Below are 23,554 nucleotides of genomic sequence, written 5' to 3' on the forward strand. Positions count from 1 at the left end.
AGTCTAGCCTCCCTTTGAGAGCTGGAACTGGATTTCCTTCATCCCTGCCTCCCCAGTGCCTGGCACTGGGTAAGCACTCAGAATAAATTTGTTGGGGAATGAAGGAGCTGTGTCTGAAAGTTTGCATGGGTCTAAGACAGTGTGTTCACTCAGCTCCATGACTGCATCAAAGCATTTCTAATACCAGATGACTTACAGTGTGGAAGAAAGAGCAGCTAGGAAACAGGTCTGTATCCGTGGCCAGGAGGCATGAGCCTCAGAAATGTTGGCAGGATGAGCAGCCTTAGAGAATGATGGCAGCGCCCCGGGGAAATGACAGGAAGCACAAGTTGAGTGGCCCAGGGAAGGCGAATGGGCATCAGAGAATTAAGAAGAACTGTCTTGTGCATGGGAGACTCTCCAAGACCTCTTGGATCGGAAAGGAAGAGCTGAGGTTTCAGTATATCTTGGCAGGGGTGGGCAAGCCACAGACCTCCCTTAGTTTCTGTTATGTGTCCCCGCTGCACTGATAGGGCCTGAGGAAATGAAAGTTAACCAGTAACAAATATTTTTGGGTCTGTCACTTTAAAGAGTCTTCAGTTGGCTTCCCTTATCATTGGAGATTATTTCTTTTGTGAGTGTGTTTTCTTTGCATATTCTTTGCATATGTATTGTTTCAAGGAGAAATGGTAGCTTCCTGGGTGTTGACATCTGAGGCAAAGTTTTAGATTTAACTTGAGGTCATCTTAGTCGACTCAGGCTGCCATAATAAAATACCACGGACTGGGGTCTTAAACAGCAGACATTTATTATCTCGCTGTTCTGGAGGCTCGGAGGTCCAAGATCAAGGTGTCAGCAGATTTGGCTCCTGGTGAGAGCTCTCTTCCTGGCTTGTGGATGGCTGCCTTCTTGCTGTGTCCTCACCTGGTGGAGTGAGAGATTTTTTGTCTCTTTCTCTTCTTCTAAGGGCACCAATCCCATCACTGAGACTGTAGCCTCAGGACCTCCTCTAAACCTAATTACTCCCCACAGGCCTCACCTCCTAATATCATCATGTTGGAGGTTAGGGCTTCAGCAGATAAATTTGGGGGGCACAGGGTTCATACTGTTGATGAAAAAAGCCAAACTCTGAAATACTTGAAGAAGTTTATTCTGAGCCAAGTGTGAGGACCATGGCCCGTGACACAGCCTCAGAAGGTCCTGAGAACATGTGCCCAAGATGTTTGGGTTATACTTTGACTTTATACATTTTAGGGAGACAGAAGCTACAGGGAAAACATAAATCAATACGTGTGAGTTATATGTTAGCTTGGCCAAGAAAGGCAGGTCATCTTGAAGTGGGTGCTTTCAGGTCACAGGCGGATTCAAAGATTTCCTGATTGGCAATTGGTTGAAAGTGTTAAGCTTTGCCTAAAGAGTTTGAGTCAGCAGAAGAAATGCTTGGGGTTAAGATAACGGGGGTTGTGGAGGCCAGGTTTCTTCTTATGTAGACGAAGCCTCCAGGTAGCAGACTTCAGAGAGAACAGATGGTAAATGTCTTTTATCAGACCTTAAAAGCTGTCAGACTTTTAGTTAAATCTCTCCTGGATCAGGAAAAGACTTAGAAAGGGAAGAAGATTCTCTGCAGAATGTAAATTTTCCCCACAACGGGTGGCTTTGCAGGGTCATTTCAAAATATGTCCAAGAAATATATTTGGAGGTAAAATACTTTCATTTCCTTTAGGGACTGTTATCTGTCACGTGATGTTATATCAGAGTCTCAGGCTTCCCCGACCCACTTCTCTTTGACACCGGCAGAAATCTAATATCTGTATCAGGGTCCACATAGACCAATGGCATCCAGCCCTGATGTCAGGCCATCTTTAGCCTCCACTGATCACCTGCCCACATTCTGCACATCAGCCTCACTCAACTTTCTGTTTTTCTTGCAGCCCAGGCTGTTTGGCACCTCTGGGACTTTGCACGTGCTCTTTCCACTTCCTGGTTCATTCTCCCCCTGCCTTGGCATCTGACTGAATCTTCCTCCTTTGTCAGGCCTCAGCTTAGATGTCACTGCTCTGAACCTGCCCCCAGTCCCCTGGTCTGAGTTAGGTGCAGCTTGTCCTCCCACAGGAGCTGGCCCACACCTGCCACCTGACTCCTGAATGCACCAGCAACCCCTGCTGGGGCTCCAACTGCTATTCAGACGGTGCGCCTTAGGCCGGAAGGACCAGGTCTGTCTTGTGAACAATTGTATCCTCAGTGACTGGCCCCAGGCATAGGAGGTGCTTCATGTAATACTTATTGAATGAGTCAAAAAGGTGAATTAAAGAATGTTGTCATCAAGTTCATAAGTCAGCCTCAGATTACTGGTTCTGACAGTCTTGGTAATGCTTTTTAAGTTGAGGTTTCTTTAAGCTGATTGTTGAAAACGGTTTACTCATCACAGGAGTTTATTCATTTACTGGTCCAAAAAGGATAAAATCATACAAATGGCTTTGTATCCTTTTGCTATTACAATACAGAAATTCGTAGCATGGATTTTGGAGCCAGACTGTCTGCATGTGAGTTCCAACTCTGTCACTGAGAAGCTGCGTGACTTTGGGCAAACTATTTTTCTGTGCCTCAGTTTCCTCATCTTTAAGATAAGATTCTAATAAAACTTATCTAATGATGTTGTGAGGATTAAATTCGTCTGTATTTGACTAATCCCTAAACACATAGAAGCACTATATAAAATGTGTTAAATAAAGTAAATCAGGAATAAATCTCATAAACAGTGTGGTAGTCTCTTAGAAGTTAACTTCCTTTTGGAATAAAGCATTGGCATGGTTCTAGCACAAGGCAACTTCAAGGACAAAAGTGAAGTTCATTTTCAGTGTGTGCCCACCCTCTATTTCTATCCCGTTTTACTTTCTGTGGTGTTTTGTCTTGCAAAGTGTTATCTTCCTCTTCACCATCTCACAACAAATGCTTTTGGATCTGCCAAAAAGGCCAATTCATACTCTAATGTAAATGACTGATAGACTCTAATGTGCTTCTCCAAAATTATTGTCTTAACATGAAGTGTCCTGATTAGTCTGGGGAATTCAGGAGGGCAGAAACCACATACTATACATGTCAATATCCTCCTTGACCCTGGCTCTCTACACCTCTAAGTGCGGCAGACATTGGCCAGCCCTATTATCAAGTCTCCCGGGAAACAGTCAGGAGTGTGAGGGTTAGACCCATTGAACAGAATGCTGAGAACCTTGGAGACACATTGGGAAGAGAGGGGAAGAAGTGCCACCAGCACTGAATAACAACGGTTGAGTTTAAAATACAAAATCAGAATCCTGGTCAGCTTACACTGGCACTCCAAGACTATGGAGCCCTCAGATGCCACATGACCCAACCTCAAAGGAGAGCTGCGGTTTCAGACTCAGGGTGACAGCAGCCAATGATTTAGAAAGCAGAGCTCAGCGTGGGACCCATGGCAGGAGGCTGCTTGGAGTCTGTAAATGATGCCATTGTTTGAGGTTACATGCAATCAAAGAAGGAAAAACTCAGGGGTAGGCTTTGGGCTGGGGGAGCAGGGAAAAAAGAAAAACAAACCACTTAAAATTTTAGGGACATCTCCTGCCAAAAGCTTTTTTTTTTTTTTTTCAAATAAAAAAAAAAAACACCCCGATCTGAAGCCAATGAAGCAAACAGGAAAGCAGCGTCTGGGCCTGCTCTGAGGGCAGATGGCAGCCTCTTGGGTTTCAGAATGAGTTGATCATTGCGTAAACAAGGTGGCCTCTGGGCGGGGGCAGCCTGCTCTGTAAGAGCTCTTCCCCAAGGGGCACTTGGGCCCTTTAGTGTCCACATTCTTCAAGCCTGGCAGTGCCCTGCCCTGGAGTCCCTTCAAGTTCAATGTTGCTTGGCAACTTACAATGTGCTATTACGACCGTGTCTGTTATTCCCCATGATGATCCTGTGAACGTGGTGTGGATTAGTAGATCCATCTTATGGAAAGGGGTACCCTGGGTTTCAGAAAGGTAGCCTTGCTAGCTCAAGGTCAGGTGGAGAGGAAATGGCAGAGCCAAGCACAGGACACAGGCCTCTGTTTTGCCGTTTAGCTAGGCAAGTGCAACAGGAAGGAAGGGGGAGGCATGCGTGACCCTGGGGAGGGCTGAGAGCCTTAACCATAACATCACCTTGGGGTTTGTTGAGTGTCCTTGAGTAAGCACGGGCTCTGGAACAAAAGAGCATGAACTCAAGCCCCAGATCCAGATCCTCCTAGCAGGAAAGTTTCTGAGATTTCTTGGGAAACTTAACCTTGGGAAAGTTTCTGAGATTTCTGAGCCTTGGGTTCCTCATCTGTGAAATGGGGATAGTAGTAGGACCTGCCTTATAAAGATGCGGTGGGAATTCAATGAGCTAAAGCCTATGAAATGTTTAGAGCCACTTCTGGCACACCCTGAGTGTTAGCTCTTATTGCAACATCCTTTCATGTAAACTCATTTAGGGTTTTATATTTATGCTGAGAAGGATTTATTTTTGTTTTTATTTTACAGATGATGAAACAGGACACAGAGAGGTTATTTTTCCCAAATCCAGTAAAGACGCAGAGCTGGAGGTTGAACCAGGGCTTCCGATGCCAATTCTGGATTGCTCCTGGCTGTGCCATGTTGGTTCTGTATGCCAAAATTCTTGGACTTTCTTGCTATTGTTGACCCCCAGTGTCTTGCTAGATGCTGCCTGGGACCGACACTGAGCAGAATCATGACAGGAGTGTCCGTGTCCCTAGGCTTCCCTTTTTGCCCAATTGCCCTATATTGGTGGAGGCTCCAACCTGCCCTGCAAGATGCTGGGTGCTCTTCTGCATCTGACTTATTCTTCCGCTCTGATTTATGTGAACTTATTTCCAAGACGTGGTAATTAATCACCGCCTCAGCAAGGGGGATCTGGGGGGGCTGACAAAGCACTGGAGCCCCTATAGGATTCCACAAACATTGGGATAATCAATATTCCTATTGATATATTTATTCTGGATTCCCTGTGTACTTACTGGGTACTTGTTCTGAGTGCTCCTCCTGTGCCAGCTGCTGGGGATGCAATGGTGAGTCCAAGCAGACATAGCCCAGGAGCTCCTAACGTTTGGAGTCCAGCAGGGAAGACTGATAGTAATCAGAGTCACGGTCATGAATGTGCAGCTACACACTGAGATAAGTTATCTGAAGGAAGCAAATCCAGCTTTGGGGAAACTGAGTAATAAAGAAAAAAATGATCTCAACTTGGGAGTCAGGGAAGGCTTCCTCAAGCCACTTAAAAGTGATGTCTGAGTTGCGTTCTGAAAGGCAGTGACAGTGAGCTAGTGAAGTGAGGATGGAAGAGCATTCCAGGCAATGGGAACAGCGAGTGCAAAGGCCCTATGGGGGAACTGACATTTTAGTTGGGTGAGCATGCAGAGGGCAAGGGGGAAGGACATGTGAGATGGGGTTAGAGGGGCCAGGGGTCATTTTAGGAGAGCGGGGTTGAATGATAGGGGGCAGGGAATCCACTAGAGAATTCTAATTTGAAGTGGTAGGGATGAGGTATTCATATTATTTAGTTTGTATTTGTAAAAGATCCCTCTGGCTGTTGAGTTGAGACTGGATTGGAAGGAGGTTAGAGTGGTGGCAAAGAGACAAGTCAGAAGGCTATAGATGTGGGCTGGGCAAGAGCTGCCAATACGTGGGACCCAGGTAGAGGTGGTGGTGCTGGACATAGATGGATTTGTGAGCTCTTCAGGAGTTAAAATCGACTGTTTCCTGTTCCAGGTACTATAGGAACTGGAGATACAATGATGAATAGGATATAGAAACCCATCTTCAAGGGGCTTACAGTCTAACAAGAGGGAGGCAGACGTGTAACAGATACATACATACAAATACAACTGGCCGTGATGGAGGATTGTAGAAATGGCCACAATATTTTGGACTGTGTTGTACCCACACCCTTTGCAATGTGACTTCCTAGCTTTTCCATAAGAGACTGGGTCTATTTCTCTATCCCTTGGATGAGGCCTGGTCTTATGATGTGCTTCTGTTGATAAAATTTGGTAGAAGTGATGTATGTTGGTTTTGAGCCCAGGCCTCTGTTGGCTTTGTGTGCTTCTACCATGTCTACAAATCTTGCAGAGTTTCTAGGAGAACAAACCCAGGCAAGCCTTCTTGATGATGAGAGACACATGGCCCAGTCATCTCTGTTCCTCTACCAGAGAGCAGGCCAAATACCAGATATGCAAAATAAACATCTTAGACTAGTTAACCCCTGGGTATCTGGCCACCTGACTGCAGATGCACAAGTGAGCTCAAGCAAGATCAGCCATGCCTGGCCACAATTAGCAGATGGGTTCAGCCAGCCCATAGATTTGCAAGCAGTAATAAATGCTTATTGCTCCAAGCAGTGATTGCCAAACTACAGCCTGTGGGCTGACCAGCCACCTGTTTTTGTATATAAAATTTTATTAGAATTTAGTCATGACAGTTATTTATGCATTGTCTGTGACTCCCTTTGAGTTACAAAGGCAAAACTGAGTAGTTGCAACAGAGATGCTGTAATCTGCAGAGCCTAAAATACTACCTTTTAAGAAAATGTTTGCTTGCCCCTGGTTTAGAGGTATTCAGTTGTGGAGCAGCTTGTTACACAGCACTAGCTGCCTGATGCATAGGTCCTGGAATAAAGGGGCGGGTGAGGGCACAAAGGAAGGATTTGTTAGCTCTCCATTGACTATGACATAGCATGGTTGGGAGAGGCTCTGTAGAGGAAGTGATGCTAAATGTGTCTTAAGCCATGTGTAGACTTGGGCTCAGAGGGAAATGATGAGGAAATCAAGGGTCAGAATGATTGTGATCAGGCCAAGGTCATGTGGCAGGTCTCCTGATTCCTGTTTGGGGACAATTTTTCCCTTGTCCCAGTAGACAATTTAACATTTTGGTTAAGAGAGAGGAGGACCCTGGGGCCAGATAGAGCTGGGTTCATTTTCCAGCTCTACCATTTCTGAGATAGATGATTTCACATTCTGGCTCTACCATTTCTGAGATAGATGATTTTGGGTAACTTACTTAGTTTCTCTGTACCTAAGCTTCCTCATTCATAAAATGGGGAAAATGACATTGATCTCACAGAGTTGTTATGAAATTAAATGAGATGATGGGCAGAGGTTCTGGTATACCACTTTATAAAAGAATGCTGCAGAGATAAAGACAGCTTAGAAATACTTGCCATAAGGCTTTCTGTTTTAATCAGGGTGGGAGATTTAAACTAAAGGATGTTTTATCAGCTTCCTTTGCTAATTACTCTACTGCTGAATTTGTAGTGGGATGGATGGTTTTGGGCATCAGTCATGTATACCCATGAACCCTATATCTCGTGGAGACCACCTGCTTCCCTTCTGGAATTATCTCACCCCAGAGACTGCCACCACCAACAGCTTCTTGGGGTCCCCACTCTGGGCTGCTCTCTGTCTGTTTCACAACCCACTGCAAATGGTGGGAGAGCCTGTGGGCTGAGGAGATTTGGTCACTTTGTGCATATCTCTAAGTTCCTGTTTCTCTGGGCTGGGACTGAGCCCATCCACATGCCCATTTAGATGATGAGGAAAAATGGAGGGTGTTGAGCTGGATTTAAGAAAGTGCTCCTCTGAGCATCTGTGATGTGCCAGGCCCTGTTCTGGGCTCTGGGAATTAGGGATGAGCCAGCCATGTTCCTCTTTCTTCCCAGAACTCAGAGCTTGCTGCAGGAGGTGGACTTGCAAATGGATGTTTTCAACACAAGATGGAGAGCGTAGCAGCAGAACAAACCCAGGGCTCCAGGGAAGCACAGCTTAGCTTTGGGCTCAGGGAATGACGCTCAGGGTGAGTTTGAGCTGAGTCTTCTAGCATAAGTAGGAGTTTGCCAGATAAAGACAGAGGGGAAAAAGCATCCCAGATGGAGGAAGCAGCATGAGCAAAGGTGGGGTGAGGAAACAGCTCAGCCTGTGCAGTGTGTGCCAGGAGCTTGGTGTTGCTGCGCAGGGAGTCTGAGTCAAGGGAAAGGTAAAGCCAGCAGAGTAAGCAGGAGTGTAGACCACATCGTCATCCAAAGGACTGAAGAACAGAGGGACCTGGCAGATGGGTGGTAGAGTAGATGCAGGGTGTAAGAGATTTCTGTGACCCTGGCCATGGGTCACCATAACAGGTGATGATTTCTGCTTTCTTGGCCTCCAGGAAAGGAGAGTTTAAGGAAGTTTGCAGCATCATATGGGTCTGTTTAATTCTGAAGCCCACTAAGGTTTCACCATCGGGTTACATTCTATTTCTTACCAAACCTAACAGAAGATTTTATCATGTTGCTTCATAACGTATGGTGGGACACAGAGGAGGCTGATAAACCATACTGAGTGCGTGAGTAGGGGATGGGGGAGAGGAAGAGAAGATGGGGACATCCTATCCTGTGCTGCATGACTCCAAGAGGTGATAGTCAGGGTCTGGGGAGAGCATGTGTGGTTTGTGTGTATGTGTGAGGGTCTAGGGATAAGGCCAGTGATGGGCTCAGAGGAGAAGTTTGGTAAGCATTTGGAAATCCTTTCTACTCTTCCAGATGAATGAAGAAGTGAATCCAAACCTGGAAGTGGATATTTTTAAAAAAGTCCCATCATCATTTTGGGAGCTGAGATGTCCCAGTGTCACAAAAGAGAATTTCTCAATGAGGAACTGACCAGCGAGGGAGAAAAATACCCTTTAAAAACACTTCCTGCTAGAAGTCAAATGGTGGGCAAGCAAGAGTTGCACCATCAATGCAGCATTCTTCTGGGTTCATTTTCTGACTTTGGAAGAGGTTGGTTTCTACAAATGCAGCGTTCTGCTCCCGGATCACCAGCTTCCCCAAACTCTAGCGACAGGAGTTGAAACTTTCAGTGGATCAGTTTGTGCAGGGCCTGTGCTGGCATCAAAGGGTTGCCTGATGATGAATCTGCAGGGAACGAGGAGGGAGGGAAGGGCTTCCCCAGTCGTGCCAGAGGCAGAGTGACCCAGGACATAATAAGTCATGCATTGCATTCCTCTGCCACCATGCAGACTTGTGGTGGCCATTCCAAACCACTGGAGAGAAATTCCATTTTATTCTTAGTGATTTTTGCATGGGAGACAGCTGACGTTCAGGTCCGGGCTCATAATCTTCCACTTTCGTCGATCCTGCAGGAAGAGCGGGCTTTGGCCAATGGCCATTAACCTCCCGCTGCCTGGCAGACCTTTTGTAAGGCTCAGGGATGAACGACAGGATGGCTGAGGGAATGGCCTTTGAGTTAGACCTCCCCCGACACCCCGGGGAGCCCAGGCTCTCCCCTCACCAGTTGTGTCACTTTGGGAAAGCTATTCACCTTCCTCAGCTTCGGTTTCCATATCTGAAAAAGAGTACCCATGCTCATCTCATAGGGAGTAAGTGATACCATGATAGTACAGTGCTTGAGGCATGCTCAGTGCACAGTAAGAGCTCCAGAGGAGGCTCCGTGCATGCTGTGTTCATGACGACACTACATATGCCCAGATTGTGTTCACACAGGCGCATGCCAAGAATCCATCAGCGTTCTCAGTCTGGGGGGGAGGTAGACATGGGGTGTTTTGGGAAAACAAGGAAGAGATTCCTAACTCACTTTCAGATGTGTGTGTGTGTGTGTTTGTGAGGATGTGTATGTGTTGACTGGTGTGAGCATAAGTGCATGAGTGGATGTGTGTGTCTGAGCATAGGTGTGTAAATATGTGTGTGACAGAGTTGAGTGTACGTGGTGTGTGTGAATGTGAGTACAGGTATCTGTGTGAGGGTGTGCATGTGTTGGGTGTGTGTATGTGTGTGTAAATGTAGGTGTCTACATGTTGGGTTGAGCCTAAGTGTGAATAATATGTGCGTGTGAGAGAGTTGAGTGTATGTGGTGTATGTGCGAGTGTGTATGTAAGCGTGAGTTAAGCCTGTGTGGTCTGTATGTGTGAGGGAGAGTCGTGTGTGTGTATGAGAGTTGTGTGCGGGTGGCATAGGTGTCTGTGTGTGTGTGCAAGTGTGTGTGAAAGTTAGGTGTGAGGGGCTGCGTGTGTGTGTGACAGGTGTGAGAGGGGGCTGCATGTAAGTGTGAGAGTTAGGTGTAGAGGGGCTGCTTGTGAGTGTGCAAGTGTGTGTGAGGGTCAGGTGTGAGGGGGCTGCGTGTGAGTGTGTGTGTAAGGGTCAGGTGTGAGGGGGGCTGCGTGTGAGTGTGTGTGCGAAGGCTTTTAGGCGCCTTTGGCGCTTGCTTGTGCCGAGTTGAGGATGGAACAGTTTGCAGAGCATGCACGCTAGGAGGCGTTAGGGGATGCCTGACAAGCATTTATTCATTCAGTCATTCAGCAAATACGTATTTGGGGTCTAGTCTGTGCTGGGTTTTGCGCCATGCAGTGGGGACATCGCTGGTTACTGCACACCTTCTTTGCGGTTCTTCTCCGTGGCCCGCCTGGCTCCATTCCTAGCCTGCTTGGAGCCCTGGAGGCTGACCCTGCCAGCTGTGCCCCCAGGCTCCCTGTCACTGTCTTCTGGTTGAGTCGGGTCTGTCGAGGGCTCTGGCAGGAGACCAAAGGGCAAAGGGAGAGGGAGGTTCACATCTTGGGCAGCAGCTGGGCCCCTCCACAACTGCGGTTCCTGCCCCTCTTCTGAGTCTCCAGTAACACTATCTCCTCCCCTTGCTCCTTCAGCTGAGTGAGGGGCCCCCACTTGGTATTTCTGGGAGCCCCAGCATCCAGAATGGTTCTTTCATTACATGATCTTCATTTGCACAGTCTGGGGTGAACTCTTTTTTCTGCTGCATCCTTGCGGACACACCTAGCAACGCGCTTATCATTGGTTGTTCAATTAGGCTTGAGTGTCTTTCTTGGGATGAATTCCCAGCCTCCCCTTCCCCTTCCTCTTCCCCTTCCCCTTCCCCTTCCCCTTCTCCTTCCCCTTCCCTCCCCTCCCCTCCCTTCGTTTCTTTTCTGCCGTAAAAGGAGCAAATCAGCAGACTGGAGACTCTGAGGTTTGCTTTAATTCTGAAAATTCTAGATTTGGCTTTCTATTCTCTTGCCTGCTCTGGGATGGGGGCTCTGCTCTTGGTGGTTCCAGAATGCTCTTTACTTTGGGGAGGAGGAGGGGGAAGATCAACATCTGCATCCAGCTGTGCCCTGCCAGGGGCACCCGCGGGCAGCTGTCAGCAGCCTGGCAGTTCCTCCTTCGGAACCATTTTGCCTCCCCCAGCCTCCTCCCACTATATTCAGCTGCTTTCTGCATCATCCCCTTGGCACCCCCCCACCCCCGACTGCCAGAGGGCCAAAAGGAGCCTTCTAGTTCATTGTGTTATGCGGTAGATATGTGTAGAGCACCGCTCTGTGCCTGGCCCTGCTCTGAACACTGAGGATCCAGCAGTGAGCACGGCCAGCAGTGGCCCTGCCTTCATGGAGCTCGTACTCTGGTGGGAAGAGAGAGACAATAAACAAAGAAATGCACAATCGTAATAGATCAGGTGGTGGTGCGTGCCTAGATGAAAAATGAAACAGGTGGCTGGGCACGGTATCACATGCCTGTGAACCCAGCACTTTGGAAGGCCGAGGTGGGGAATCACCTGAGGTCAGGAGTTCAAGACCAGCCTGGCCAACATGGTGAAACCCCGTCTCTACTAAAAATACAAAAATTTTCCAGGCCTGGAGGTGGGCATCTGTAATCCCAGCTACTCGGGAGATTGAGGCAAGAGAATCACTTGAACCCGGGAGGTGGAGGTTGCAGTGAGCCAAGATCACGCGACTGCACTCCAGCCTGGGCAACAGAGTGAGACTCTGTCTGGAAAAAAGAAAAAGAAAAAAGAAACAGGTTAAGGAGATAAACAATGCTGGCATGGGGTATGCGAGCTGTTTCATACAGGGTGGTCTTGGAGGGCCTACGGAGAAGGTGACATTTGAGCAGAGACTGGGAGAAGCGATGGAGGGGCCCACGGATGTCTGGGAGAGAGTGCACTGGGCAGAGCAGGCTGCAGGTGCAGAGGCCTTGAGCTGGGGGCCTGTGGGGGGATTGCAGGAAGAGTGACCAGAGGGAGGATGAGGAGGGCAGTGGCAGGTCATGAGCTCTCGGAGGCACAGAACAGACCTTGTAAGGCCTCAGAAGCATGGGGATCACTTTGGAATTTATTCTGAGTGAAAGGGAGGCTTTTGCAGAAATAGAGAAGTAATAAAGATTTCAGGATCATTCTGTCTGTTGTATGGAGGAGGTAGGGGGTGGGCAAGAGCAGAGGCAGAAAACCAGAAAGGGACCATCCCAAGGACAGTAAGACCTGCCACCCCTGCCAGCACCAGCATATCTGCAGCACAGCATGACATAACGCAGGGTCCACACGAGGTGTTGGTTGCTGTTCTTGTAATCAGCAGCGTTGTCATCACCCCAGCAATGTGCGAACTTGCGGAAATTATTTTTTCTGTCCAAGGTTCAGGTTCTCCATCCATAAGCTGAGGGTAATAATATCTACCTTTTAGGGCTGCTGTGGGGATTTATGCTGCTCAGGTATGTAATGCTCACAGAAAGTGAATATGATAACTATGATTCCCATTTTAAGGATGAGGAAACTGAGGCTCCACTTAACTGAGGCCATACCTTGCCCATCTGATTCTAAACATTCAGGCCTATCAGAAAGGAATGCCCCCAAATCTGGGGCTAACATAGAGATGTATCATGTCTGTGTTTTATGTTCCTTTGTGGCTAAGGTGAGCTCAAGATCCTTTTCTTCTAGTCCAGTAGATTCTAGGTTCTTAACCCCAGTGATCAAGGAAAGCCCAGAGTCCTACTTCTTTGACCACCACAAGCTCATCATTCTATCCTGTTGGCTCTGAAATCAGTTAATCACATCAAGAGGGACAGATTCTCCTTCGCTGTGCTCTGTTCCTCACAGAGAGCATCATGGAGATGAAAAGACACTATAATAATGGCAATTGATTCTGTAGTTTCTTGAGTCAGACACCATGCAAAGCGCCTTCTACATGCTATCCCATTTAACCCACAGAACAACCCTATGAGATTAATGTCATTCTCATCTGCATGCTACAGGTGAGGAAATGGAAGTTTAGGAAGGTTAAATAGTTTGCCCAAGGTCACGTCCCTAGTGAAGGGCAGAACCAGGTTTGAATCTAAGATTTGATAACTTAGGTGTGTGCTCCCTCCACGGATCTCCTGTTAATTCTTCTATTCCATGTCCAGCTTGGTCATGGAATATTCATGCATGGAATAATTAATTAATTAGATGACGAATTAATTTATTTGGCTGAATGAATGGCACTGACTTGGAACTACGGGGAGAATAGAATAGGTCAGAGAAAGAATGACTGATTGGAATCAGGTGAGTCTGGAAGGAGGCTGGGGCTTCTGGGCTTGCTATCAATGTGGTCCTAGGCAAAGTGGCTGGCAGGATGGAGACCCCCCCAGGAGACGTCCACACCCAAATACTTGGAACCTGTGAATGTGTTATCTTATGTAGCAGAAAGGACTTTGCAGATATAATTAAGGTTATGGATCTTGAAGTGAGAAGACTATCCTGATGGGCTCGATGGAATCACATGAGTCCTTACAAGTGGAGACCCTTCCTGCCCATGGTCAGAGGGAGAGATGCCACGAGAGAAGAAGAGTCAGAGAGAAAGACTCACCTGGCCATCGTGGGCTTTGAAAATGGAGGGAGAGGAGCGTGGGTCATGGGGTGCAGATGGCGTGGTTCCCTGGATCAGGGCTTCGAGTCAGGAATCACCAGCTTTGGGTCCTCCCAAGCTGCATTCTGCCATTGTCACACCTCTCTAGCTGTACACCCAGGGAGAGGCTGCCCACTTTTTCTTTGTGTCGTCGAGGAAGGTTTTTCTTTCCTTTCACCTCTCACTTGCCACGTGACCTGAGCTAAATGACTTTTTCTGTTTGAGTCCCTTTTCCTTGTCAGCAAAATAAAGATGTGCTCTGGACAACCTCTCAGACATCCTTTAGCTCTAAGATTCTGTGGGTCTGTGTGTTTCCAAGAAGAAAAATCAACCCCTAAACAAAAACCAAACTAAAAGCAAAAGGATTGACATCACTACCTTAGAAAAATAAGAGCTAACCTTTACTGTCTAGAAACCAGACCCTGTTCATTTAACAGCTCATTTAATCCCCTAAAAGGTAAGTGCTATTCTTATTCCTGGGCACAGAGAGGTGAGGTGTCTAGCCTCAGTCACACAGTGTGAACGTGGCATGGCTGGGCTTCACCCTTGGTAGTTGTCCTCCACAGACCATGCTAATAACCAAGAGCATTGGACCATTTCCATGTTCATTCCTCCATCCTTTGGGTTATCCTGAGTCATCACCAAGAGCTTACACCCATCTCTTGCTTACACCCATCTTGTCTTGGCTTTAACTCTATTTTCCTAGTATCATCAGGTCACACTTTTATGTTTCCTGGAAATCCGGAACTGAGCTGGAAGAATATTCAGAGATGCTTAATACTCATGTCTTCATATTGTTGGATGATATGTGGGTCCCCTATTCTAAGAGATTTCAATCATAGCTGATATTTATTGAATACTTACTATACACTGGGTCCATCCTTAGAACTTTATGTGTGTGATGGACATAAAGATGGAAACAATAGCCACTGGGGACTATTGCAGGGGGTGGGGAGGGAGGGGAGTGTGGATTGAAAAAACTGCCTATTGGGTACTATGCTCACTACCTAGGTGATGGGATCCATATCCCAAACCTCAGCATCACACAGTTATACCCATGTAACAAACCTGCACAGGCACTCCCTAATCTAAAATAAAATTTGAAGAAGCCCCAGTTGCCTAACGGATAAGGCATTGGCCTCCTAAAATAAAATTTGAAATTACAAAAAAAAAGAACTTGACATGTGTTAACACTTTTACTTCTCACTCCCACCCTGTCTGATGAGGTGGGCCCTCCTGTCATCACATTCTGCAGATGAGGAAATGGAAGCATGGAGCATGGCTGGGATAATGTGCCCATGTCACACAGAGAACGTAACGAGGCATTCCTGGGATTCAAACCCAGGCTGTCCGCCCACAGGCACTAGGCTTCTCCCCACTTCACTTTACTGTCTTTTTCAAGATAGCCTCTTCTGCATAGTAATTCTATGAAACGTTTTTAGAGACTCTGTAATGAAAGGGTTCCATGGTTAAATAAGTTTGTATGAGTAGGGTTAAATAAATAAAACTAAAGTTTCTCTACTCCTGGATTTTTTTTTTTTTTTTTAATTTGAGAGGGAGTCTCACTCTGTTGCCCAGGTTGGAGTGCAGTGGCATGATCTCGGCTCACTGCAACCTCCACCTCCCTGGTTCAAACGATTCTCCTGTCTCAGTCTCCCAGGTAGCTGGCACTACAGGTGTGCACCACCACGTCTGGCTTATTTTTGTATTTTTGTAGAGACAGGGTTTTGCCATGTTGGCCAGGCTGGTCTTGAACTCCTGACCTCAAGTGATCTGCGTGCCTCGGCCTCCCAAAGTGCTGGAATTCCAGGCGTGAGCCACTGTGCCTGGCCTCCTGGATTCTTGAAGAGCCAAATGGTTATCAGGATCTTCATGAGCAGGATGGAGCAGGCACATGCATTAAGCTCATTTGACCATGGGGACTCTCTATTTGTGGTGGATCACCTCAGGACACATATTTTGTGAAAATTGGCTCTAGAGGCATTCTAGGTGGGAAGATTTTTAGACGAAGGAGTCATAGCTCCAGTTTCTGTTTAGTTCTCAGTCCTCCATTCCAATTGTCCTCCAAATACCCCATCATCTCCCCACTAATGACTGTGCTGGCCCTGCTGTGCACCTGGCGTGCATTCAGGGAATAACAAGCTTATGTACTGAGTTTCCAGAAAGCGCAGTGCACTTTTAGTGCGCCAAACTGGTAATTTGCCATTTAGAGAATTCTTCCTAAAGTAGATTATTTCTGTTAAAGCAAATCACTATTCCTAACTGATTTATAATTTTGGTAAATCTAAATTTTCATGAAATAGGCTTATAAAGCGTGCCACATTTCTGTTTTCTCCTATGGACAGGAAGAAAAAGTTGGATGGGGACAGAAGGACAGAACAGGGTGCGGAAACCATAGGATAAAAGCTGTGGGTTTTCCCCCAAAAGTTGCTCAAAAGAATAATATGACTTCTGCTTTTCTTCTCCTCTGGGTGGCAATTGGGGAATCCAGCAGCCTGTTGAGAGGACAGAATTGGTTAAGTTGTGGAGAGGTGCAGTCTAATTGTTAAATCTTTAAAAGTCTTGGTTGTCTAACCTGCTGGTTTTCTTGCTCACAGCCCCTGCAGATATCTTCTCAGCCTACCTTAACGCTGGCATGCAAGGTTTTTCTCTTTGCTGAGTGTCATTTGGTTAATTTCCATGTTCAATTCTACGCTGTCCATGATTACCAAGCACCTACTATGGTCTTGCTTTGAGTCAGGCACTGTGGCTTTAGTAATCCTTATAATTCACACATTCATTCATTCATAAGGTCCTGGAGATGCAGAAATGAGTGAAGCATGATCTCTGCTTTGGAGGAGAACTCAATGGATTAGACACAAATAAGCCAAATAGAGAGTCGGTCTGAGCTTGTGGCAGAATTTAACGGGCAACAGGGATGGGGAAACACAGAGGTTTGAGAGATCATAACCATGTGCTGGGATAGTTTGGTCTGGAAAGTTTTCTAGATGGAAGGGGCAACTGAGTCGGGCTTTGAAAGATGAGTAAGATGTAGTTATACAGAGAAGTTGGTAGAAAAGACCTGGTAGAAGAAAATTCCTGAGCAAGGAGAAGGACTTGAGGATGTCTAGAGGGTGTTATTAGTTTGTCAGTGGCAAAGGGGCACTAGACCTAAGTTCTTTGGCTTTTTCTGTGACAACTGGTGACCTTTCCTATGTTAGATCCTCTCCTAACATCTGACGGTAATGGAAATCTTTCTAGGTAGAGAGTTTCTAAACAGCCCAGGTAAGTCATTTAACTTTTGGTACCTCATTCTTTTTTTTTTTTAAATCAGCAGAAGGGAGACAAAGGACTTAATTTCTGAGGTTAAGGTAAGAATTATAAGTGAATGATGTATATAAAGCTTTAGAACTGTGGATGACACCTAGTAAGTGGTCATTAAATGTTAGTTATTATTATCATTATTACTACTATTCTGGAATACAGGAGGATTTCAGCAAGTAGTTAACCATGAGAACTCTAAGGGTAGGCACACTTAGTTATTTCTGCATCTTCTGCACATGCCAGTTTGTGAGCTGGTAGCTTTCAATAGATGCCTTTCAGATGACTTGAGTGGTTCAATAAATCAGTATGAGAGAAATATCCCTTTTCTCTAGGAAGCTCAATGCACTGGTTTCGCTTATTCTTGAGGTTCTAGACACAAGATCCTGGCCTGGGTGGGAAGACCCCCATGCTATTGGGCCAACTCTCTAACTTCATGTGTATCCTCTGTGAGTTCCTCTCGGGTAAAGAACATTTGACCCCTGTTTAGAAAGATTGCCTTTCACAATCTCCCAGTTCTCTAGATGGGACTTGCTGAGCTGACAGAATGTACAGAGAAGAACTAACTATTTTTAGGGTGAACTAGAAAGATTAGAACTTTGTTCTCTTCTCAAATAGCAAACCTCCAACCTGTGAAAATCCAGAGAGGAGTTATTGAAGAGTCGGAGGTAGGGAGGTGTTTGTTGCACTCTTTATTATTATTATTATTGTTTTTTGAGGTGGAGTCTCGCTCTGTCACCCAGGCTGGAGTGCAGTGACACGATCTCGGCTCACTGCAAGCTCCATCTCCTGGATCCACGCCATTCTCCTGCCTCGGCCTCCCCAGTAGCTGGGACTACAGGCGCCCGCCACCACGCCCGTCTCATTTTTTGATTTTTAGTAGAGACAGGGTTTCACCATGTTAGCCAGGATGGTGTCGATCTCCTGACCTCGTGATCCGCCTGCCTCGGCCTTCCAAAGTGCTGGGACTACAGGCGTCAGCCACTGCGTTCAGCCTATTATTATTTTTTTGAGACGGAGTCCCACTCTGTTGCCCGGGCTGGAGTGCAGTGGCACGACCTTGGCTCACTGAAACCTCCACTGTCCTGGGTTCAAGAGATTCTCCTGCCTTAGCCAACTGAGTAGCTGGGATTACAGGCACCTGCCACTGCACCCAGGTAATTTTTGTATTTTTAGTAGAGACAGGGTTTCACCATGTTGGCCAGGCTGGTCTTGAACTCCGGACCTCGTGATCCATCCTTCTTGGCCTCCCAAAGTGCTGGGATTACAGGCATGAGCCACCACGCCCGGCCTGTTGCACTCTTACTGCTTAAAATTCTCGCATAAAAATAATAACAGATTCCTGGTGATGGAGTGTCTTCTCTGTGTCAGGCCCTAGGTGCATGCTTTACACATACATTATTGTTCCATGCTTACAGCAACTTCATGAGATTGGTTTAATTCTTCTCTTTTGCAGATAAGAAAATCGAGGCATGGAAACAATGCTGTCCACAGCCACACCGAGGGGGCAAAGTAGAGCTGGAATTCCAACACTGGTCTGTCCAGCTTCAAGACCCAACCTCTCTATGAGGATGAAAACCTAATGAAACAAATCAAAACAGATGAAACAACCTCAGCCTACAGGCTAAAGAATGCGCTCACTCACTCAAGTCATAGTGAAGATGTGGAACACATCATTTTGCTGGTACAGAGGCAGATTCACAGATGAGAATGTCAGGGATTCTGTCTCAGAGGCGCTCGTGTCCTTACAAGGGAGGTGTAAGGACTACCTTGTTTTTCATCTGCCCATCTTCTTCATTTCATATTGGGATTTCCCCTTCCCAGTTCACATGCCAACTGGAAGGTTTGCGAGTCCAAATCCCAGCACTCATCTGGCAAAGGGGTGAATGTTTGACTCATATTGGAAAATTAGACTATAGGAAAGTAAATGATGACCCCCTAATCTGAAAATGGCTAGAGCGGATTAATCCAGCTAGCAGCACTCTGAAGATAGCTGCCCATTTGTTCCTGCCATCTGGCTGTTCAGCTTTCCTTCTTTCTGAGAGCTTCCTTGTGGCAGCTACTGTAGGTTGGTTCACTCAGCGCCCATTCCATTTCCCGTCAAGCCGTGCTTTCTCTGCTCTAGAACGTGGAAGACTCAAAGCTCGCTTTCCCAGACTTCCTTGCAGCTAGGAGTGGCCATGATACTTGACCAGCGAGATGCAAGTGTAAGTCTGCTGGGGCTGTCTATCCCCTTTCTCCTTCTTCCTACTGGAATGTGGACCTGATGGTTGTAGCTGTGGCATATACCTTATGAGCATGAGGGAAAGCTTAAGAGAATTGCGGGCACCAGCCTGACACTGCTTAGTGACGTCAGGCAGGCACAAACTTCCCTTTGGGCTCCTTGCTGAAGAACTCCATAGTGGTTTCTGTTACTTGTGGCCAAATTTACCTCTTCACTGATACATGATCTGCACATTTTCTTTGCACTTTTATAAACAGGGTGTATGCTTGAGGTAGGCAGAGTTTCTGTTTGCAACTAAGAAACCTTAATTGATATAAGGAAAGGAAAATAATATTATGATGATACAAAGCAAACCATAACACCATCCAGAATAAAATATGTTCTGGCAGGAGGACGGTCGCAATACAAGTTCATGTAGACGTAGTCTGTCACATTTTTAAGTTTTCTCACAATGTTTTCCTTTGACTGTCCCAGATATCCTATAAAGTAAGAATTATTTTTATCCCCATCTTAAAGGTTAAAAAAATCTCAGAGTTTAAGTGCTGTGGAAATTATTAGATTGGTGCAAAAGCAATTGTGGTTTTTGCCATTTCTTTTAATTTTAATGGCAAAAACCGCAATTGCTTTTGCACCAACCTAATAAGAGACTAAAGTGATTAATTAAAACTGTGAGAGCTTCATGAAAGGGGTGGTTTTAAGCTGAGTTTTGAAGGATGAACAGGCTTTTGAGAAAGGCAGTAGGTGGTGGACAGAACATTCTAGCTGAAGCAAGAGCTGCAAATACTGGAAGGCTGGGCGAGTTTGGGAAGTGTGGTTGGTGCTCAGGGCTGGGGCCTAGAGCACTTGGGAAGCATGTGAGGGAAGCAGATTTGGAATAGTTGGCAGGGGCCGGATCATGAAGGGTCGGTACACTGGCAGCCTCTTTGGATTGCAGAGAACAGAGGCATCCAGGTGAGCTCGAGTAATAAGGTCGTTGTGAAGATGCATATGGGAACAAAGGAGGTTCTAGAATTAGGGCAAAGATTCTTGGGGAACTGGGACTACACCACAACCAACACCACAGAGTGAATGAAAACCTCAGAACAGTCAGACTTATGAAGGTTGGAATGTACTTTGACAATATAAATCTGTCGAGAATCAAACCCAGTTCTAGTAACTGACTTATCTTGTCTTCCTCTCAGTAGCAAAAACTCATTGGTTCCTACTCTGAAGGTCTGATATTAACATGAAACCCTTTTGAATTCAGTTCTCTGTGTATATCCTCAGCTCAAATCCTCAAGAGTGTGCGTTAGGATAAATCAGCTCTGCTGTGATAACAGATAAACTCTAAAACCATCAGGGCTTTACATCATTACACAAAGTGCCACCTGAAACATGTGTCCTCAAAGTTCCCCATGGCAAGAGAAGATAGGGACAAAGGAAGCACACAAGTCCTTAATATTTTTAATTCTTATCTTTGCATTCCATTCACCAGAAGTAGCAACATGGCCCTACCTAATTGCAAGGGAGCTGGGAAAGAGGAAATCACACAGAGTATTTGATAGTCACGAACACTCCCTGCTATGAATCTGAGGTATCTCACTGGTCACCCTCGTCTCTACTGGGGAATGTGCTCTTGACAGGGACACCTCATTGGCCCCTTTCCAGGAAGGATTGGCTTGGCTGCCCTTTAGTCAGGTGTCCTCTCCTGGTCCAGTGAGCTGTGGCCTGGAAAGAAGAGGCCACAGTCTCTGTGATGTAGGCAGGACAATTTCCATTTGAGGACTTTAATGATTTAATGGAACCACTTCACTATATTATGTGAAGACTGGGAGTTTATGTTGAGGCATTGAAGGTGTTAGCCATTGAAGGTGTTAGCAGAGCAGTGAGAGACATGATTGGATTTACATTTCTCACAGGTCACTCGGAGGCTGGCCTGAGCATAATGGGTTGGAGGTAGAGAGACTAGTTGTAATGCTGCTGTTATTGTCCAAGGAAGACATTAGACAGAAATGGAATTGGGGTAAAAGGCTGAAAGTGAAGACCTTGCAGAATTGAAGCAGGCAGGAAGTCGTATGCCAGAATAATATACAGAGTATCTCACATGTGATTGTCATCAGAAGTGAATGAGACCCTGTCTATAGAGAACATAGCACGAAGACTCAGCATCTACTATTATGCCCTAATCAAAATATTTGATACAGGACCTTTCAGCCTCTGCTGGGATACTTCCAGGGATGGGAAGCTTACCACTGTTTGAGCAGTCTGTACATTGTGGACATAGTTAATACTTTGAAAATGCCTTCTTAGATTAATCTCAATTCTTCCCTCCTCCCTCCTTTTATCCTTTGTTTCTCCACCCATCATCCTTTTCTCTAGGAAAAGGATGTCTCCTAAGAAGGAAGACAAATCCTTTTGGCTCCCTCAGATTTTCTCCTCTTCGTCATCCTTCCAGCTTCCCAAGAAATCCCAGAATAAAACTTTCCACTCAAGGTCCCACCTTGGCCTTGCCTCTAGGGACATTCTGATTTTCCTTTGTCAAGATGGGGAGCATCCTAGGCTTTCCAGGGAGCAGAGCCTGTGCCTCTGAGAGGGCACAGACTATGGAATCAATAGAAGTTATTGGTCATTAAAGTGTTTCCCTGGATATTCTTATAATGGGAAAAGATTATGGTGGGATAATGGGAAATCTATTAAGCTAGGAGGAGGAGGGTCTTGGGGACTAATAGGTGTGGTGTTCAGCTAACTGGGCCCTTATGCTGGCGGTTCTAGGCCTCAAAGTCATCCCAGTGGCCAAAGCCTTCTTGATCACTGAAATCAGGTATCTCCAGTTAGTGTTCATGTTTTAATCTGAATATAAAGCCCAGTTCCACTTTGCTCTGTTCATTTCTTTAGTGCTTATTTATTGAGTGCCTGCTAGGACCCAGGCAGTGAGAACTCTGATGAAAAAGACAATAGGCCCTGTCCTCATGGAGCTCAGTGTCTTGTTGGGAAGAAAAAGAAGAAATTTATCATAAGTAACAACAGTAAAAGTGATAGTTTAGGGCCGGGCACAGTAGCTCATGCCTGTAATCCCGGCACTTTGGGAGGCTGAGGCGGGCGAATCACTTGAGGTCAGGAGTTCGAGACCAGCCTGGCCAACATGGTGAAACCCCGTCTCTGCTAAAAATACAAAAATTAGCTGGGTGTGGTGGCATGTCCCTGTAATCTCAGCTACTCGGAAGGCTGAGGCAGGAGAATGGCTTGAACCTGGGAGGCAGAGGTTGCAGTGAGCCGAGATTGTACCACTGCACTCCAGCCTAGGGAACAAGAGCAAAACTCCATCTCAAAAAAAAAAAAAAAAGAGTGGTAGTTTAATAAACAGTAATATGTGGGCCAAACATTTTACATAGATTATTTTATTTAATCTTATCAGTGATCCTATCAGAAGCTTTTCTGCTCCCATTTTGCAGATGGGAAATTGAGGTTTAGAAAGGTCAAGTAAAATGCCCGAGATGACACAGCTAGGAGCTAGAATTCATGTCCTCACTTGAAAATACCTCTTGCTTTGCTCCCCCATTACACACACACACACACACACACATACACATGCACATGTACACATGCATACTCATACTCTGGGAGACCAGAAGGGAAGCAGCACCTAACCAGCCCAGGATTGCAGGGATCACTTCCTGCAGAAGTGACATCGGAGCTGAGTCCTCAGGAAGTGTGCACGCTTGCCAGATAGAGGGGAGGAACAGCCTTCCAGGTAGACAGAAGGACATGGACAACATGCCAGGTGAGAGGGCGTGCAGTGGATCTGGGGAATCTCTAAGTTGTTTATGGTTGGTTGACATGTGGCTTGACTGGAGAGAAGGATGGGAGATGAGGATTGACAGGTGGACAAAATCGGGCCAGGATGGGGGAAGATGGGCATAGTCACTGTGACCTTTGTGATGGTTGGAGGAGGTGACCTGATAAATATTCGTTCTCTGTAAAGCAGGAGTAGCCTTCAGGCCACATTGTCTCCGTCTGCTCCCTCCTCCCTGCAAGCCCTAGGGTAAGTGAGAAAGTGCCTCCTGAGGCTCTTATTGTCAAAAGGATGGAGTTCCTGAAAGAATGGAAGATGTATGTTCACTCTTAGCTTTATAACTTGTTATCTGAGGGAAACTTGGGCTGGCCTCTTCTCTAAATCTCAGTTTTCTTGTCTATAAAGTGGGGTTATTAATACCAATGTCATCACAAAGTTGTAATAGGGAATAAATCAGATGAGATAAAAACACACACATGCTTCGTAACTATCTTGTGTTTAACTCTTTGTTCTGGTTACCCATTGCTGCATAAAAAAGACCCCAGAACTTAATTGTGTAAAACAACCTTTGTTTTGCTTCCGAGTCTACGATTTGGG

The 23,554-nt window shown here is 46.1% G+C and overlaps 1 long non-coding RNA gene across 2 annotated transcripts in view, besides 3 other annotated features; it reads left to right on the top strand.

Annotated features, from left to right (window-relative positions):
* The window catches only part of LINC02964 (long intergenic non-protein coding RNA 2964), a 160,228-nt gene that overhangs the window by 84,500 nt on the left and 52,174 nt on the right, over positions 1-23,554 (top strand). Inside the window, exons 3-5 of one of the 2 annotated variants that reach the window (XR_001746072.2) lie at positions 4,497-5,041; positions 8,545-8,781; positions 18,418-19,168. This is a non-coding gene — a long non-coding RNA (long intergenic non-protein coding RNA 2964). Of the gene's footprint in view, positions 1-4,496; positions 5,042-8,544; positions 13,938-18,417; positions 19,169-23,554 lie in introns of those variants that run through there. The other variant, XR_007061095.1, reaches the window with a different exon arrangement.
* Positions 640-819: an enhancer, noted in NCBI's record as "active region_27923". NCBI's record gives its function as "activates an Ori minimal core promoter by ATAC-STARR-seq in GM12878 lymphoblastoid cells {active_cell/tissue: GM12878}" and the evidence as "EXISTENCE:reporter gene assay evidence [ECO:0000049][PMID:35858748]".
* Positions 1,692-1,741: an enhancer, noted in NCBI's record as "active region_27924". NCBI's record gives its function as "activates an Ori minimal core promoter by ATAC-STARR-seq in GM12878 lymphoblastoid cells {active_cell/tissue: GM12878}" and the evidence as "EXISTENCE:reporter gene assay evidence [ECO:0000049][PMID:35858748]".
* Positions 3,615-3,994: an enhancer, noted in NCBI's record as "active region_27925". NCBI's record gives its function as "activates an Ori minimal core promoter by ATAC-STARR-seq in GM12878 lymphoblastoid cells {active_cell/tissue: GM12878}" and the evidence as "EXISTENCE:reporter gene assay evidence [ECO:0000049][PMID:35858748]".

Source organism: Homo sapiens, chromosome 8 (assembly GCF_000001405.40).
Source record: "Homo sapiens chromosome 8, GRCh38.p14 Primary Assembly".
Taxonomy (NCBI): domain Eukaryota; kingdom Metazoa; phylum Chordata; class Mammalia; order Primates; family Hominidae; genus Homo; species Homo sapiens.